Here is a 17,890-nt window from a genome sequence, read left to right as displayed (position 1 = left end):
ATCCCTGCACTCCAGCCTGGTTCGCAGAGACCTTGTCTGAAAAACAAAAAGAAAAGAAAAGAGAGTCATCCGGGATAAGGACAGGGCATTACATAATGATTAAGGAGTCAATGCTCAAAGAAGACATAACAGTCCTTAACATGTATGATCCTAACAAGAGAACATCAAAATATGTGAGGGAAAAAGCGACAGCACCGCAAGGAGAAACTATTATAGTTGGCGACTTCAATGTCCCTCTATCAGAAACGGACAGATCCAGCAGGCAGAAAATCCGTAACTCAGTAACACCCTCTATAACTGGATATAATGGAAACCTATGGACTATTTCATACAATGACAGCAGAAAAAAAAGAAAAGAAAAACGCTTTGGTTTTTCCCGTATCTTAGGCTGGAGAGCAGTGGCACGATCACAGCTCACTGCAGCCTTGAACTCCTGGGCTCAGGAGATCCTCCCGCCTCAGCATCCTGTCTAGTTGGGACTACAGGTGTGCACTAACACACGTGGCCAATTTTCTTTCTTTCTTTCTTTCTTTCTTTCTTTCTTTTTTTTTTTTTTGTGACGGAGTCTTGCTCTGTCGCCCAGGCTGGAGTACAATGGCACAATCTCGGCTCACTGCAAGCTCCGAGAATGGAGAATGGTTCACGCCATTCTCCTGCCTCAGCCTCCTGAGTAGCTGGGACTGCAGGCACCCACCAGCATGCCCAGCTAATTTTTTGTATTTTTAGTAGAGATGGGGTTTCACCGCGTTAGCCAGGATGGTCTTGATCTCCTGACCTCATGATCCGCCCACCTCGACCTCCCAAAGTGCTGGGATTACAGGCGTGAGCCACCGCGCCCGGCCCTTCTTTCTTTCTTTTTAAATTTTTTTCATCATGCAGCTCAAAATGTCATAATTTTTAAAAATTTACTTTTCTGTAGAGATGGGATCTTGCTATGTTGCCCAGGCTAGTCTTGAACTCCTGGCCTCAAGCAATCCTCCTACCTCGGCCTCCCAAAGTTCTAGGATTACAGGTGTAAGCCTGAGTCACCATGCCTAACCACAAATATATATTTTTATTTTTTGAGACGGAGTTTCACTCTTCTTGCTCAGGCTGGAGTGTAATGGCATGATCTCAGCTCACCGCAACCTCCACCTCCCGGGTTCAAGCAATTCTCCTGCCTCAGCCTCCCGAGTAGCTGGGATTACAGGCATGTGCCACCATGCCTGGCTAATTTTGTATTTTTAGTAGAGATGGGGTTTCTCCATGTTGGTGAGGCTGGTCTCCAACTCCCGACCTCAGGTGATCCGCCCGCCTTGGCCTCCCAAAGTGCTGGGATTACAGGCGTGAGCCACCAAGCCTGGCCCAAATAAAATGTGGTGTTTTGTTTGTTTTTTTAGATGGAGTCTTGCTACGTAGCCCAGGCTGGAGTGCAGTGGCACGATCTCGGTTCACTGCAACCTCCGCCTCCTGGGTTCAAGCGATTCTCCTGCCTCAGCCTCCCAAGTAGCTGGGACCACAGGTGCGTGCCAACATGCCCGGCTAACTTTTTGTATTTTTAGTAGAGACGGGGTTTTACCATGTTAGCCAGGATAGTCTCGATCTCCTGACCTCGTGATCTGCCCACCTTGGCCTCCCAAAGTGCGGGGATTACAGGCGTGAGCCACCATGCCCAGCCTATAGATACTTTAAAAAAACATTTTATTTGTCACGGGTGCCGGGTGAGCGACCACGCCCGGCAATGATGAGTTTTATCTGGGCTGTTATACATCTGAGAAACGTCCAGGGGATGGCGCCCAAGAGGCATTTGGAGCTCAGAGAAGAGGTCAAAGGTGGACTTGGTGGGGTTAGGGAGGCTCTTGGGGCTGTGGGAGTGGTTCCTGAACTGTGATCCGCACTGTCCCCCAACTTACATACCCAGAACAGCCAGGCTTGGGTAATAGTGGGATCTCTCACCCTCAAAGGGCCAAACTGGGTAGAACTCAGGGCTTCCTTTTTTTTTTTTTTTTTGAGATGGAGTCTTGCTCTGTCGCCCAGGCTGGAGTGCAGTGGCACAGTCTCGGCTCACCGCAACCTCCGCCTCCCGGGTTCAAGTGAGTCTCCCGCCTCAGCCTCCCAAGTAGCTGAGATTACAGGTTCATGCCACCATGCCTGGCTAATTTTTTGTATTTTTTTTTAGTAGAAATGGGATTTCATCATGTTAGCCAGGCTGGTCTCAAACTCCTGACCTCAGGTGATCCTCCTGCCTCGGCCTCCCAAAGTGCTGGGATTACAGGCGTGAGCCACCACGCCCAGCCAGGGCTTCCTTTTTAGGATCCAAAGTTAGGGAGAAGCTGAGGCCACCCTGGCTGGTCTCTTAGCCCTGGAAGGATCTGACTGACCGTGATTAATGAGTCTTTTCACTCTAGCGGCACCAAGATATTCCAGGTCCCAGCTTGGTAGTGCCGGGAGCCAGCAATGAGTCCGCTCCAATGGAGCTCAGGCACCAGCAAGGACAGGGGGGCAGACAGGGGCAGGGGTCATCAAGACAGCAGGCATGGCTTAATAGCCATCCTAGGGATGTGAAGGGTGTGTCATTGTGGGTTCGACTTGCATTTCCCTAATGACAAATGAGGTTGAGCATCTTTCAGGAGCTGTGAGCCATTTGTATACCTTATTTGAGGAAAAGTCTTTTAGGATCCTTTGCCCATTTTTAAATTGTGTTTTAAATTGTTGTTTGTGTTCTAGTATTGAATTCTATGAGTTCTTGTGTATTCTGGATATGAAACTTTCACCAGATTTGTTATTTACAAATATTTTCTTCCATTCTGTAGGTTATCTTTTCACTTTCTTGAAAGTGTCCTTTGATGAGCAAAAGTTTTAATTTTGATAAAATACAATTTATCATTTCATTGCTTGTATTTTGAGTATCATATCAAAGGTTCCATTGACAAATACAAGGCATGAAAACGTACCCCTGCGTTTTTTATTTTTATTTAATTATTGTTATTTGTTTGTTGGTTGTTTCTGGTTTTTATTCTTTGAGACAAGGTCTTGCTCTGTGGCCCAGCCTGGAGTGTAGTGATGCGATCTCTGCTCACTGCAGACTTGACTTCTTGGGCTCCAGTGATTCTCCTGCCTGGGCTTTCCAAAGTGCTGGGATTACAGGCGCGAGCCGCCACACTCAGCCATTTTTTTTTTTCTTTATCAAGATTTTTTTGGCCGTTGTAGATCATTTGCAATTCCATATGAATTTCAAAATTAGCTGGTGAATCCCTTTAATGAATGTTTTATTTCAGTTACTATACTTTTCTTTTCTTTCTTTTCTTTTTTTTTATTTTTTTGAGACAGAGTTTCACTCTTGTCGCCCAGGCTGGAGTGCAGTGGCGTGATCTTGGCTCACTGTAACCTCTGCCTCCCGGGTTCAAGCGATTCTCCTGCCTCAGCCTCCCGAGTAGCTGGGATTACAGGTGCCCGCCACCATGCCTGGCTAATTTTGTATTTTTAGTAGAGATGGGGTTTCACCATCTCTGGCCTCCAAAAGTGCTGGGATTACAGGGGTGAGCCACTGCACCCGGCTATTTTAGTTACTATACTTTTCAACTTCATAATTTCCATTTGTTTTTTTTTTTTATAATTTTCGATTTTTTTTTTTTTAATTCGGAGTCTTGCCCTGTCACCCAGGTTGGAGTGCAATGGTGCAATCTCAGCTCACCGCAACCTCTACCTCCCAGGTTCAAGGGATTCTCCTGTCTCAGCCTCCCGAGTAGCTGGGATTATAGGTATGCACCACCATACCCAGTTAATTTTTTTTTTTTTTAATCTTTAGTAGAGACAGGGTTTCACCATGTTGGCCAGGCTGGTCTCAAACTCCTGACCTCGTGATCCACCCGCCTCGGCCTCCCAAAGTGCTGGGATTACAGGCGTGAACCACCGTGCCTGGCAATTTCTATCTTTTTATCGGTATTCTCTATTTGATGAAACGCCATCATCATACATTCCTTTATTTATTTAGTCACAGTTTCCTTTGGTTTTATGAACGTGTGTATAATGGCTACTTTAAAGTCTTTTTCTGATAAATCAACATGTGCCCTCTCACAGGCAGTTTCCTTTGCCTGCATTTCCCCCTATCTATGGGTCATGCTTTCCTGTTTATTAAATTTTTTGCAGGCTTCATATTTTTTTTTTTTTTTTTTGGAAACAGGACATTTAAATAATACATTGTAGCAATTCTGGGTATGAGTCTCCCCTGACCTGGGCTTGTTATTATTTTCTTGTTTATTTGTTTAGTGACTGGCTGGATTGTTTTAGTGAAGTCTATTTCTTCCGTACGATGTTCAGCTTCTATGGTCGTTCTCAGGGGGCCCAGCTTTGAGTATGCCTGCAGTTACTCTGGGATGACAGTGGTTTTGGAAGGCTCTCTTCCTCTTTCCCTGACCATATCCAGCTGTTAAGCTATGCAAATTTTCTTTTCTTTTTTCTTTCTTTCTTTCTTCTCTTTTTTTTTTTTTTTTTGAGATGGAGTCTCGCTCTGTCGCCCAGGCTGGAGTGCAGTGGCACAATCTCGGCTCACTGCAACCTCCGCCTCCCGGGTTCAAGCAATCCTCTGACTCAGCCTCCCAAGTAGTTGGGATTACAGGCACCTGCCACCACGCCCGGCTAATTATTGTATTTTTTGTTTTTTAGTAGAGACGGGGTTTGACCGTCTTGGCCAGGCTGGTCTTGAACTCCTGACCTAGTGATCCACCCACCTCAGCCTCCCAAAGTGTTGGGATTTTAGGCATGAGCCACTGCACCCAGCCCTTCTTTTTCTAATCCTTGCTTGGTTGAAATAAGCTCTGCAAGTTGCCAATGGATTGCTTTATAATTTCCTATAATGCCCTGCACTACACACTGATCCTATCAAGTTTGGCTCCTTGGAAGAAATAGTGTGTGAGGTCAATGTCTGCTATTTGTTCTGACCTCAGGAGGGCTCCCTCTACTGGTGCTATTCCCTGTTCTCTCCTGTAAACGAGCAGCCTAGAGTTCAGCTTGTGTCTTGAATCTTCTCCTAATTATCTCTCACCATAATCTCTACTATTCTCAAAAGCACCTTTTGGGCCGGGTGCGGTGGCTCACGCCTGTAATCCCAGCACTTTGGGAGGCTGAGGTGGGCGGATCACCTGAGGTCGGGAGTTCGAGACCAGCCTGGTCAACATGGTGCAAACCCCGTCTCTACTTAAAAAAAAAAAATTAGCTGGGTGTGGTGGTAGGCACCTGTAATCCCAGCTACTCGGGAGGCCGAGGCAGGAGAATCGCTTGAACCCAGGAGGCGGAGGTTGCAGTGAGCGGAGATCGCATCACTGCACTCTCAAACAAACCTAACCAAAATCAAAACAAAAGCAACTTTTGCCTTGAATTCCTTCGTTCTCTGTAGCAAATGAGGTCAGTTGCTTTGGGAAGAGATTAGGAAGTCTCTTTTTTATGGCCTGTTTCTTCATTAGACAAAAATCTCTCTGAGCCAGGGCCCTGGAGCTGGGGGTGGAGACTTTGGAAAGCTTCTCTCTGAGTGACACCCTGCGCTAGGGGCTGAGGACTTGGTGGGAGTGGGGACAATGGCCGAGGTCCTCAAAGTTTGCCTCTCCTGTTGTCGAGCTACTTCCACATGAGCCAGGGCCGGAGTGATCAGGACCCCAGCACTCGCAGCACACTGCACCCAAGGCAGAGCCTCTGTTCCTTGAGTGGGGCTGGGTGCAAGAAGGGGGCCCCCAACTCTTGGCTACACTCATCCAGGACTTAGTCTCAGCAACAGGTGGCTGGGGGTAGAATAGGAAATGGATGTCCTGTTCTTCGTGGGAGGCAAGCCCTCCCACTGGGAGCTGGGGGCAGAGGGAGCCCTGTTTCCCTGGTCTGGAGGCAGCAGGGGACCCCATGTTCTTGGCTGCAGCTGTCCAGAGTGGAGTCTCAGCCTCACTGAGCTGAGAGGAAGGGCAAGAGGGGCCATGATCTCAGTGCAAACACCATGGCCTCACCTTTTTAAACCAAATATTCATAGATGTTCATGAATCCATGTTTCTTCATTTGCATTTTCTTTTTTTTTTTCCAGACAAAGTCTCGCTCTGTCCTCAGAGGCAGGAGTACAATGGTGTGATCATAGCTCACTATCACCTTGAAATCCAGGACCGAAACGATCCTCCCACCTCAGCCTCCTGAGTAGCTGGGATTACAGGTGAGAGCCACCATGCCTGGCCTATTTTTGTTGTTGTTTATTTTTGTAGAGATGGGTTCTCACTATGTTGTCCAGGCTGGTCTTGAACTCCTGGGTTCAAGCATTCCTCCTGCTCCAGCTTCCCAAAGTGCTGGGATTACAGGTGTGAGCCACCATGCCTGGCCTGTTTCTTCATTTTCTTTTCTTTCTTTCTTTCTTTTTTTTTTTTTTTTCTGAGACAGAGTCTCCCTCTGTCACCCAGGCTGGAGTGCAGTGGCACGATCTCTGCTCACTGCAATCTCCACCTCCCAGGTTCAAGTGATTCTATTTCCAAGTAGCTGGGACTACAGGCGTGCGCCACCATGCCTGGCCAATTTTTGTATTTCAAGTAGACACAGGGAGGCGGAGGTTGCAGTGAGCTGAGATCATGCCACTGCACTCTAGTTCAGGCAACAAAAGCAAAACTCTGTCTCAAAAAAATTTTTTTTCAGGGAGTTCTCTCAGGTGTTTCAGCCAATCTCTGATGATAAAAAGTTCCCCAATCAGCCTGTTTGGAGTGTTCCAGGGTCCAGTAGTCTAGCCCAGTCTACTAATTACAGAACTCAAACTGCATTGAAATTGCAGTTTCCATCCAATCTCACGACCCTTAACATAATCGCACCGGCAAAGTCCCTCTTGTCATATAAGGGAACGTTCCAAGTTCTTGAGATCAGGACCTGGATGTCTTCGGGGCTGTTACTCAGCTGATCACAGGGGGTTAGGGTTTCAGCACTGAGACAGTGGCTGGGTCTGCCCTGGCCTGGTGTGGCCTGTGGCCAGTGATGAGTTTTCCTCCTGTGAGCAGCTTTTGAGGGACCTCCATAAACCAAAACCAAAATCCTAAGCCCCTTAACCATCCAAATGGACTCCTTCTCTCGGCAAGGGCATTCCAAAGTTAACCTGAAAATGAGTTCAGGATATGATGGGAAGGGGGAGCTGGACATGCCTTGTTATAACCTCCTCGCTTTTGGAATTACTGTTAGAACGGACTCTTTCAGTCTGATAAGAAACATTTACACTATATTCTCTCTGAAGCCAGCTACCTGGAGGCTTCATCTGCATAATAAAACCTTGGTTTCCAAAACTCCTTATTTTGTTGTTTTTTTGTTTTTTTTTTTTTTTGAGATAGGGTTTCTCTTTTGTTGCCCAGGCTGGAGTATAATGGGGTGATCTCGGCTCACTGCAACCTCCGCCTCCTGGGTTCAAGCAATTCTCCTGCCTCAGCTTCCCAAGTAGCTGGGATTACAGGCGTGCGCCACCACTCCCGGCTAATTTTGTATATACATTTTTTGAGATGGAGTTTCACTCTTGTCGCCCAGGCTGGAGTGCAGTGGCATGATCTTGGCTCACTGCAACTTCCGTCTCCTGGGTTCAAGTGATTCTCCTGCCTCAGCCTCCCAAATAGCTGGGATTATAGGCACTCGCCACCACGCCTAGCTAATTTTTTATTTTTAGTAGAGACGGGGTTTCACTATGTTGGCCAGGCTGGTCTCAAACTCCTAACCTCAGGTGATCCACCTGCCTCGGCCTCCCAAAGTGCTGGGATTGCAGATGTGAGCCACCGTGCCCAGCCTAATTTTGTATTTTTGGTAGAGACAGGGTTTCACCATGTTGGTCAGGCTGGTCTCGAACTCCTGGCCTCAAGTGATCTGCCTGCCTTGACCTCCCAAAGTGCTGGGATTACAGGCATGAGCCACCGCGCCTGGCCCAAGCCTCCAGTTTCCGATGGCCCCTCGTTCCAGGCCCCAGCGTCTGCCTCATTTGGGGTGCTGCATTCTTCAAGGGTCCTCTCAGTCAAGTCCCATTTGTGGGGTCCTCTCTGGTCTCCCGGAATCAGGGCAGATTTACCCTCCAACAAAGCTTTGCTGCTTACCTCACTGCACTCCTTGAGCTCACTGTACAGTAGGCAGCCCAGGCTCCCAGCTCTGGCCCGAGCCACCTTGGGCAGGAATCCTTCGGGTTGAGGCCATGCGGCGAAGGAGTTGTAGGCATGGTTTGGCCCTCAGGCCTGCCTGGGTTTGAACCCCAGCCCTGCCACCTACCAACTATTGGTCACTTACCTCTTTGTAAAGGACTTGGCAGAGAATAAATACTTCTAAAACACATAAAAATAAACCCGGCATCTGTCCCACCGCCCCAGGGGACACCCATTCAGCTTCATAAGGGGAAGTCCTCCTCCCCTCATATGGCTAGAAGCACCTCAGAACTGAGGCGGGGGCCGATCCCAACCCCTCCATTGCATCATTCTGAGGCTTTGAAACCTCAGCTGCAACAGAGCCGGAAAGAGGGGCCTTATAACATCCTGTCACCCTTGGGGTCGGGGGCAGCCAGAAGGCAGGGGTCTTTGAGTAGAGGGCAGCGTGGAGAAGCCCTGGAATGGAGCTGGGTGAGGCCAGGGCCAGCTCCATCCTGCCTGGTTGGCTCAGGGACTCCAGAGTGGGCGGCGGGCAGCTGTCATCTTCTCTTCTTCCCTCTCAACTATTTTTTTTTTTTTTTTTGAGATGGAGTCTTGATGTGTCACCCAGGCTAGAGTGCAATGGTGCGATCTCGGCTCACTGCAACTTCCATCTCCCAGGTTCAAGCGATTCTTCTATTATTGGCCAGAAGGTCAGGGTGTGTTCATAGAATGATGGGTCCATGTCAAAAGGATAAGGAGACAGCTTGAAGGAGACCCCACTGGCCTAATCAGGGGCATTTTAAGCATCAAAATAAATGTAATAGTAATGGATTATAATCCACTGGCTAAAATATGAAACCATGAGCCTATATTAATATAAATGAAGGAAGAAAAACTTCTTTACAGAAAAAAAACAATGTGACTTCACACTGATTCATCCAGTGTCCATGCAACACCACAGGGCTCTGCCTGGTTTTCCTTCCACGTCTGTGTCTCCCTTCTTTCCCAGGGAGAACCCTGGTTCCAAACAATACAGCTGTGCTTGTCCATTTGTGCGCTATCCTGCAACACTTGCAAAACAGTTTCAGAATTGCTACACCGATAACACTGCTCATAACAAACCCACTAAGGAAAGGTAGAGATTTATTTACAATTCTCTTTTTTTTTTTTTTTTTTTTGAGAAGGAGACTCGCTCTGTCACCCAGGCTGGAGTGCAATGGCGCAATCTCAGGCAGGAGGATCGCTTGAGTCCAGGAATTCAAGACCAGCCTTGGTAACATGGTGAAAACCCATCTCTACTAAAAATACAAATAATTAGCCAGACATGGTGGTGGGCACCTGTAGTCCGAGCTACTCTGGAGGCTGAGGTGGGAGGATTGCTTGGAGCCTGGATGGATCCTTGGCTCACTGCAGCCTCTGCCTCCCGGGTTCAAGCGATTCTTGTGCCTCAGCCTTCCCAGTAGCTGGGATTACAGGCACATGCCACCATGCCAGGCTAATTTTTTGTATTTTTATTAGAGATGAGGCTTCACCATGTTGGCCAGGCTGATCTCGAACTCCTGACCTCCAGTGATCCGCCCATCTTGGCCTCTCAAAGTGCTGGGATTATAGGCATGAGCCATCGCGCCCGACCTACAAGTCTTGTTGACCTTAGGATTTAAGTCCCACCTAAGGTGCCCAGTGTCTAAACCAGAAGAGGTACCTTCTGAGCTGGTCTTTGATGGATGAATAGGAGTCTCCTGGGAGCAGAAAGAGGAGAACACCAGGCAGAGGAACCACGTGTGCAAAAGTCTGGGGTTGAAATGAGAGTTTGGTGTGGCCCCTTGCTGTGGCTGAAGCCCTGGGTTTGTTTAGAGTGAAGGGGATGACAAAGGATGAGAATGGGGGCTGTTTGTAGGGGCAGGTGGAGGTGGTGGATTGCAAGGGCCTTGAATGCCAGGTGAGGAGCTTGGGATTGAAGGAGCAGGAGGCAGGGCATCACAAGAGGCATCAGGGTTTAGGAAAAGATGGAGAGTCATTGGCAGATTGGTGAAGGGAGGCCAGCATCTGGTGCCATGAGACTCAGTGCCTGAGCCAGCAGGACAGCTTTGGCACTTCTCCTCCAGGCACCTCACTTTTACGGATGATAAAACATGGGCACAAGGGGGCCCCACTCCCAGAGCTTCAGGGAGACTCCCCAAGGGCCATTCCTGGCACCTGGGGTCTGAGGTAGGGACAGAGCTGGCTCACAAGCCCTCCCTGCTCTGTGACATGTCTGTTTCCTGTTTCTCCCCCATCAGGAGCAGTTTCAGTCTCAACTTCAAAAGAACAAACGCGCACTCAAAACAAAGGAAGACCGTCCTCGACTGCAGAGGAAGCAGGAAGCTGTCGGCCCAGCTCTGAGCCCAGCTGCTGGAGCCCCGAGCAGCGGCATGGAGTCCGTGGCCCTGTACAGCTTTCAGGCTACAGAGAGCGACGAGCTGGCCTTCAACAAGGGAGACACACTCAAGGTAGGGGGGCTGGAGCCTGCTGAGTTGGCCCCACACGGGGTGGGGGTGGATTTAGGAACCAGGGACCTGGGACTGTCCCAAGCAGACTGTGGCCCCTGGAAGACAGGCCCAGCCTCTCCAGTTATTGGCTGTGTGACTCTGGACAAGCCACCTTTTCCCTCGGAGCCTCAGATTCTCCATCTAGGAAATGGGGAGATAACTAATGACCCTCCTTTGGGGCTGTTGTGAGGATTCGATGAGATATTACCACAGTGTCTGGCAGGAGTTAGTTCAACCCCCAGTTTTCCAGGAAAAAGTTTGAAAAGAAAATTGTTGAGAGAGGGAGAGAATGAGAGCTAGAGAGAGAGACAGAGTATGGGAATGGAGAACAGAGCGAGAAAGAGGGAGAGAGAGAAGGTCTTAGGAAAGAAATAAGTACACATGCTAACCTAGTAGGGCTAAAATAGCTAAGATGAAAGTGTCAAGGATGAGCTTCCCAGTAGTGTGGAGAAAAGGGAAAATAGAGTCATACCACCGTTCATTTCTCCTTGTCTGGGCCGCTTTTGACAGATGTTGCAGCCTTCCAAGACGGTCTAGACAGTTGGGCCTGTGGAATGTGTCTCTGGAAATGTCCTTGCTTAAAAGTTTGCATATGAAAGCCATGCCCAGGATTCTGGGAGTGGCCATGCCAAGACGTGTGCACTGGAACTGCCAGTAAACCACACTAGGGAAGTGACTGCCCTTCCCTGGGCCTCAGTTTCCCCACTGGAGCAATGGGTGTTAGACTGGATGCTCCTCTGCGCTGAGCCCTGGGCGCTGCCCTTGGCCACAAGCTTCAAGCACAAGACGGGAGAGCTCCCTGTGCCATCACCCTGCTATAGCCAGGCCCCGAACTCAGCAGCACACCTCATGTACCATTTAAGCAATGGGGACTGGCACCCCCATTTCACAGGTGACTAAACTGAGGCACAGGGAGGCAACATGACCTGCTCGGTATGGAGTCAGTTTTGAACCCGTGTCCCTTTGGCTGTGGAACTTGCGCTTGGTCTGAACAGGCTGGGCTGGGGGTTGGGGTCCAGAGGAGGAGGAGCAATTCCTTCTTCTCTATGCTGGGGTGCTGGTGCTGGCACCTGGGGTCACTGCAGTGCTGGCTGTCGGCCTCGTGGACATGTGGCCAGATGGGGACAGGGCCAGGCTGAGCACTGGGGCTGTGAGCCCAAGGCATGACCCTCTGCGGGGATCCAAGTCTTGGTTTCTCATCTGAGAGCACTTCGAGGTCTCTAGACCCAAGTGTGGTGTTGGGAGGGAGTGGGGCAGTGATGAAATAGGAATGGGGTGCGCGGGAGGCGTTGAGCCAGGCTTGGAGGGATCAAGTGGCTGGGGTGGAAGCTGAGCTCCGCGACCATCCTGTCCTCTCGTCTAGCAAGTATTTTCCAGTGCTCCCTGTGGGCCAGCCCCTGCCATGGCACTGCCTGCCTACAGATTGAGTCCAGCCTGGGAGAGTGGGCGATGAAGCCCGTTCTTGAAATCTGAACTTTGGTCTTGGATGAAAACTCTGGCTCATGGACTCACCCTGGACAAATGGCCCCAAACATCACCTCCCTGGGACAAAGCCTCCCTCCCTGATAGGCCAGGCGTTTCTGGGTGCACGCACCCCCATGCTGTTGCCAGCTGGAGGGGCATGTGGTTAGTGGCTTCACTCCCATCTCTGCACGAGCAGCCTGGATGATGAGACCCAGACTCAGGAAGCCCATGTCACCTTGACATCTCCATGGGAAAGGGCGACGGTCCAGACCCAACACAGCCAGCCCTGGGCTCCCTGAACCTACTTTCTGCTGCCTGTCATTGTCTTGTCGGCAACTCTGGCAAAACCTACCCGAAGCCCCTCCTCCAGCCCAGGCCTCCATTGTCACTTACCTGGGCTTGCGTGGTGGCTCCCAAGGCCTCCCCGCAACAATCCCTGCTCCCCAGCCCAGTCTCCATGCAGTGGCCATGACTCAGAGCCTGGTCCTCCCCCGTACATCTTATGACATCTGCTCCTCCCTCCCTCAGCTCCAGACACCCTGGCCTCCTTTCTGTTTCAGGGACAGAGCTTGGCCCCACCTCAGAGCCTTGGCACTGGCTGTTCCGTCCGTCTTGGACACTGTTCCCCACATTTTCTTACCGCTGGTTCCTTCTTGTAATTCGGGTCTCAGCTTCCATGTCACTTCTTCAGAGAGGCCTTTCTGGACCACCCCACCTGTCCCGTGTTGACAATCTCCCTGCTCCCACCCAACCAGACATTCTCCATCTGTCACCTGATGTCCATTTTTCACAGCGCTTACTGCTCCATTAAACTACCTTGCTTATTTGTTTCTTCCCTTGTTTATGGTCTGTCTCTGCCTACTAGAATGTGAGCTTCTTGTTCCCTGCTCTGTCGTGGGGTGCCTGGCACACAGTAGGTGCTCAGTAAACAACTATCAAGCAGCAACTGCATCGGGCTGGGATGGTAAAGTGGGGCGGCAGCCTGGGTGGAGGGCACCATGTGGGCAAAGGCTCAGGGGCAGGCCAAGTTCTGCCTCTCACCTTGAGCAGTGATACTCCTCCAGGGAGGAGTTGGCCTCTCTCCCTTGTGAGAATTCCCGGGTCTCAGAGGGTCTGGGGCTTTCAAACAATGTTCACAGTAAGAAATCAGTTAACGTGAGGTCAAGAGATCGAGACCAGCCTGGCCAACATGGTGAAACCCCATCTCTACTAAAAATACAAAAATTTAGCTGGGCGTGGTGGCACACACCTGTAGTCCCAGCTACTCGGGAGGCTGAGGCAGGAGAATCGCTTGAACCCAGGAGGCAGAGGTTGCAGTGAGCTGAGATTGCGCCACTGCACTCCAGCCTGGTGACAGAGTGAGACTCCATCTCAAAAAGAAAAAAAAAAAGAAAAAAGAAAAAGAAATTAGCTAATGTAACCAATGGGACATTCCTGAGTCCTCTGAGTGCAGATGACAAGGAGACAAAACGAAGCAGGGACTGCATGAGACGTATTCCACCCAGTGTCCGCACTGCTGCATGCAGGGCAGGCCATAAATGCACCCATTGGACAGACGAGGGAGGACACTGAGGCCAAGGCCACAGAGAGAGTCAGAAGCAGACAGAATGTTCTGGAGCCCCAGGCTTCAGGGCATCCTCCTGGAATCCATGGCTGTGGTATGTGGCCTACAGGCCCTCATTTTCTCCTTAGGTTGGGGGAGTTGTTTTGTTTTTTTGAGACGGAGTCTCACTCTGTTGCCCAGGCTGGAGTGCAATGGCGCGATCTCGGCTCACTGCAGCCTCCAGCTCCCGGGTTCAAGTGATTCTCCTGCCTCAGCCTCCTGAGAAAGTTGGGGATTATGAGAGTGTGCCACCATACTTGGCTAATTTTTTTGTATTTTTAGTAGAGACGGGGTTTCGCCATGTTGGCCAGGCTAGTCTTGAACTCCTGACCTCAGGTGGTCCACCCTCTTCAGCCTCCCAAAGTGCTGGGATTACAGGCGTGAACCACTGCGCCCGGCCTGTTTTGTTTTGTGTTGAGCGAAAGTTTTCCTGAGTCAGCCACCTGCTTCCGTTCACCCCTGGGTCTGCTGACCTGGCCCAGGCTGCAGGGGCAGGAAGGAAGAGGCTCAGCCAGCCTGGCCTGGTGGACAAAGCGGGGGTGGAGATGGGGGTGCAGAGGCCACCTGTGAGGGTGGGGCCTCAGGCCTGGGCCCTAGGAGGCCAATCCCAGCTACTCTTGGCAAAATATCACTGCTGGAGTTGATGCCCCTGTATTGGCCCGCCCTGGGCCTTTGGTACCCCGTGCCCAATTTTTTCTCTCAAGTACCCCTGAAGGATTGAGCTGACATTGGAACCTGCTCCAGGACTGACAGGAGAGATGTCCCCTCACAGGAGAGATGTCCCCTCAAGCTGGAGTCCAGTGACAAAGAGGACTGGAGGCAAAAATTGGTGGGCCAGGACCCCCTTGACCAGTGAGCCAAAAACTCCAGGCCTCAGAGTCCTGACTGACCAAACAGGCTCTGCCTCTCCCCTGCTGCGTGGCCTTGGCCAAGTCACTTCCCCTGTGGGCCTCAGTTTTGTTATTTGTAAAATAGCATTTGGTGATGTTGACCTTGGGGGCTATATGAGAATCAGGGGGACAGACGGAAGGCGTGCCCAGGGAATGGAGGCAGGACCCCCGGCCTCATGCTGTGCCCCTCCCAGGCCCGGCCCCGCCCCCCGCCTTGGTCGCTTGGTTGCTCCCCCTCAGGGACTCCCACCCCGGCTCTGGCTATTTCAGTTCCTCCGGGCCCACCTGTGGTGTGATGGGGGCCTCACAGGCTCGGAAGAGGAGCCCGTGTGACCGAGCAGGCCATGCCAGGGCTGAGAACCAGTCTGTCTCAGACCAAAGGCCCCCTTATCTGCTCCCCAGAGCCTGACGTCCCCCCACTGAATTGTCACCCCTGAGCTGTCTAAATGCGAGGGACCCTAGGTGACCACTGGTGGCTGTGCTCAGGCCGGGTCCCCCGACCTTCACCCCAAGGCTCAGTGCGTGGCATGTAAGTGCTGTGGGCCCCCCAAACTCGGGGGCACAACCCAGGAAGGAACTCAGGTCCCCAGTTCTGCTCCTGCAAACCCCATGGTCCGCAGGGCTCCTGGTGTCGGAGCCTGAGAATCCAGCTCCAGCCACCCCAAGCCTCCTACGAGTCCCCGACTGTGCCTCCCTTGGAGTCTGTGAATCACCTGAGGATGGGCTGTCCTGGGGCCAGGGGATGGGCAGCACTGAGGAACGAGGGCTTCTAATTCAGCCCTTGGGACCGTGGGCAAGTCCTGTCCCAGGCCCCCAGCCCTGCTCTGTGAGTAGGCACAGAAGCTGGTGCAGGCGAGGCCCACCTGGGGCCTGGCGTGCAGTGGGGCCTCCGGGGGTGACAGTTGTTCCTTCTCGGTGACTGAGTGGCTTTGTGTCTCCTGCCCACAGATCCTGAACATGGAGGATGACCAGAACTGGTACAAGGCCGAGCTCCGGGGTGTCGAGGGATTTATTCCCAAGAACTACATCCGCGTCAAGCCCCATCCGTGAGTGGACAGCCCCATCCCATCCCCGTGGCTCTATCTCTCCTGGCCATGGGACCCCCTCACTCCTGGGCCTCTGTCCATCTGTCTGGGGCCCCCAGGCTCCACAGAGGCCACCAGCCTGGGCAGGCATAGGAGACTGAGTTCTGAGGACTTCCCCAGAGTGGGGACAGAGTCAGGGCAAGCCCAGGCTTCCACACTGAGGACGTGAGCCACTGGAGAATGTCCAGGAGGTCCCCGAGAGAGGACAAGGCCCTGGGCTTTCAGCTGGCTGCGCCACTGGCTGCTGTGTGGCCTCAGGCAGGTCCCTGCCCTCTGTTCCTCAGTTTTCCTATCTATAACTCAAGGAGGGCAGATGCTCCAATCTGTTCAGGGTGGAGGGTTCTAGAGCTCTTGCTGAGAGCTGGCCCGGCCCTGGGTGGTGGCTGGGAGAGGGCTGGGCGGGAAGCAGACCCTGTAGGCCCTGCCTTTGGAGTCTGGGGGGGAGTTGGACATTGGCAGAGCAGAGTCTGGTACCAGGGTGGAGCAAGAACTGGGCCTGGGGCCCAGCTATCCTGGGGCCTGGGACCTACCAGCCTAGGGATGTCCCAGGTTGGGCTCTGGGCAGGTGGCAGCCAACACTGCTGCCCTGAGAATGACTGGGGCAGGGCCCAGCCTCAGAACAGGCATGGGGCCCAAGAAATCTATGCAAACCAACTGGATATGCTTTAAATGGCAGCTGAGGCAGCCCCAAGATACAGCCACTTAGTCATTCACTAAACACTGGCCACAATTCCAGGGGGTCCAGCCCGGGTGATGCTGGAGACACAAGGGGTCAGAGCAGCTGTGTTCTGGGGGAGAAAGAGGACATGAAGGACATACTACATGGGAAGACAGTGAGCATTAAGGTGATTTCTCAGGGAAGGCTTCTCAGAAGAGGTGGCAATGAGTGAGATTTTGAAGGATGTGTAGGAGTTGGTTAAGTAGAAAAAGAGAAAGGCATCCCTGGGAGAGGGTCAGGATGAGCAAAGGGAGAGCAATGAGAGAGAACTTGTGGCATGTGGGACTGGCAGGAGGCCCCCAAATGCCAAGCCATGTGGGGAGCCATGGAGGTGTTATGGTAGGACTCAGTCAGATATGGAGACAGGTGACAGGGCCAAGCAGGCTGGCGGGACAGTTTGGGAGCTGAGATGTGTGTGTGGCTGTGCGGTGGGAAGGGAAGGAGGTGCAGGGCCAGGGTGGGGCATGAGAGGTATTTCCTCTTTATCTCTCTTTAAGTTAGTTCCAAAGCTGCCACCACCTCCAGCTTCCTGTGCTGGGCGAGGCCCCCTCCGACCCAGGTCCTCAGCCACCTGCCCGGGCTGCAGGCACTCCCAGCCTCCCCCACAGAGGCTGCAGCTTCCAGTCGGCATCTGGGGCGGCAGCCTGGGTTCCAGGCCCCACTATGTCCCGCGTGGTTGTGTGACATTGGGCAGGTTTCTGTGATCTTTCTGTCAATTAAGGGGGAGAGGGAGGGGGGTGTGCGAAGAGGGAGAGAGACGAGAGAATCCGACCCAGGGCCACAAGCTGGAGCCAGTGCCCCAGGCCCCTGTAAGCCAATGGGACCATCCAGACATGCCAGAGGGCATGAACGGGAGCAATCCCCCTGGGCCAAGCTGTCAGGGAGGGGCCTTCAGGTGGAGGAAATGGCCTGGCAATGGCTGGAAGGCTGGCTGGCCTACAGCTGCTGAGAGGGTCGCATTTGCTCAGGCAGGGGAGAAAAGATGACAAAAGACCGCAGTGCCGGGCCAGGCCTGTCGAGGGGATGCCAGTGGTCGAGGCAAGACTCTAGCAGGGCAGTTGGGAGCCATGGAGGGTTTCAGCCTCCCATGCCTCTGGGGTCATCTCTGGCCATTTGTGTCTGGGACACAGCAGGGATGGGGTCAAGCCCCCGAGTAACCTGCCTGAAGTGATGCCCAGGTGTGTCCTCGACTAACCTCAGCACCTGCCTTGCTCCCCAAAATAACTATGGGGAAACTCCAGCTCCATACCTGACTTAGCCCATAAAGGCCTCAGGTGTGGGGTCAGAGGGAGGGCTGGGGCCTCAGAAATTCAGAGGTAGGCCTCGTGCCTATGCCAGGCCCACTCCTTCCCTGGGCACCCCCTCTCACCCCTGCCAACCCCAGGAGCCCCCGGGGGAGGCACAATGTACGCCAAGTGCTCCAGAGCCAGCCCCATCAGCAGGGGCCACAGCGGCAAGTGACCCAGCCTCACGGCCCATGGGAGTCAGGGATGGCTTCCTAGAGGAAGGGTGTGGCCCGCT

At 52.3% G+C, this 17,890-nt stretch overlaps 1 protein-coding gene across 5 annotated transcripts in view, besides 2 other annotated features; it reads left to right on the top strand.

Annotated features, from left to right (window-relative positions):
• Positions 5,164-5,663: an enhancer, noted in NCBI's record as "H3K4me1 hESC enhancer chr17:18955069-18955568 (GRCh37/hg19 assembly coordinates)". NCBI's record gives its function as "activates a minimal SCP1, AML or CMV promoter by ChIP-STARR-seq in naive H9 embryonic stem cells {active_cell/tissue: H9 hESC(naive)}" and the evidence as "EXISTENCE:reporter gene assay evidence [ECO:0000049][PMID:30033119]".
• Positions 5,664-6,165: an enhancer, noted in NCBI's record as "H3K4me1 hESC enhancer chr17:18954567-18955068 (GRCh37/hg19 assembly coordinates)". NCBI's record gives its function as "activates a minimal SCP1, AML or CMV promoter by ChIP-STARR-seq in naive H9 embryonic stem cells {active_cell/tissue: H9 hESC(naive)}" and the evidence as "EXISTENCE:reporter gene assay evidence [ECO:0000049][PMID:30033119]".
• GRAP (GRB2 related adaptor protein) overlaps positions 6,046-17,890 on the top strand; it is a 30,718-nt gene continuing 18,873 nt past the window's right edge. For 2 of the 5 annotated variants that reach the window (XM_047435155.1, XM_047435156.1), the window contains exons 1-3: positions 6,047-6,166; positions 10,361-10,570; positions 15,515-15,612. In XM_047435155.1, coding sequence (XP_047291111.1) covers positions 10,493-10,570; positions 15,515-15,612 — 176 coding nt within the window. In that variant the 5' untranslated portion in view covers positions 6,047-6,166; positions 10,361-10,492. Of the gene's footprint in view, positions 6,167-10,360; positions 10,571-15,514; positions 15,613-17,890 lie in introns of those variants that run through there. The other 3 variants (NM_001330148.2, NM_006613.4, XM_047435154.1) reach the window with 2 other exon arrangements.

Source organism: Homo sapiens, chromosome 17 (assembly GCF_000001405.40).
Source record: "Homo sapiens chromosome 17, GRCh38.p14 Primary Assembly".
In the NCBI taxonomy this organism is placed as follows: domain Eukaryota; kingdom Metazoa; phylum Chordata; class Mammalia; order Primates; family Hominidae; genus Homo; species Homo sapiens.
Note: the sequence above shows the minus strand (reverse complement) of the source record. Positions and strands in the feature narration are given on the sequence as shown.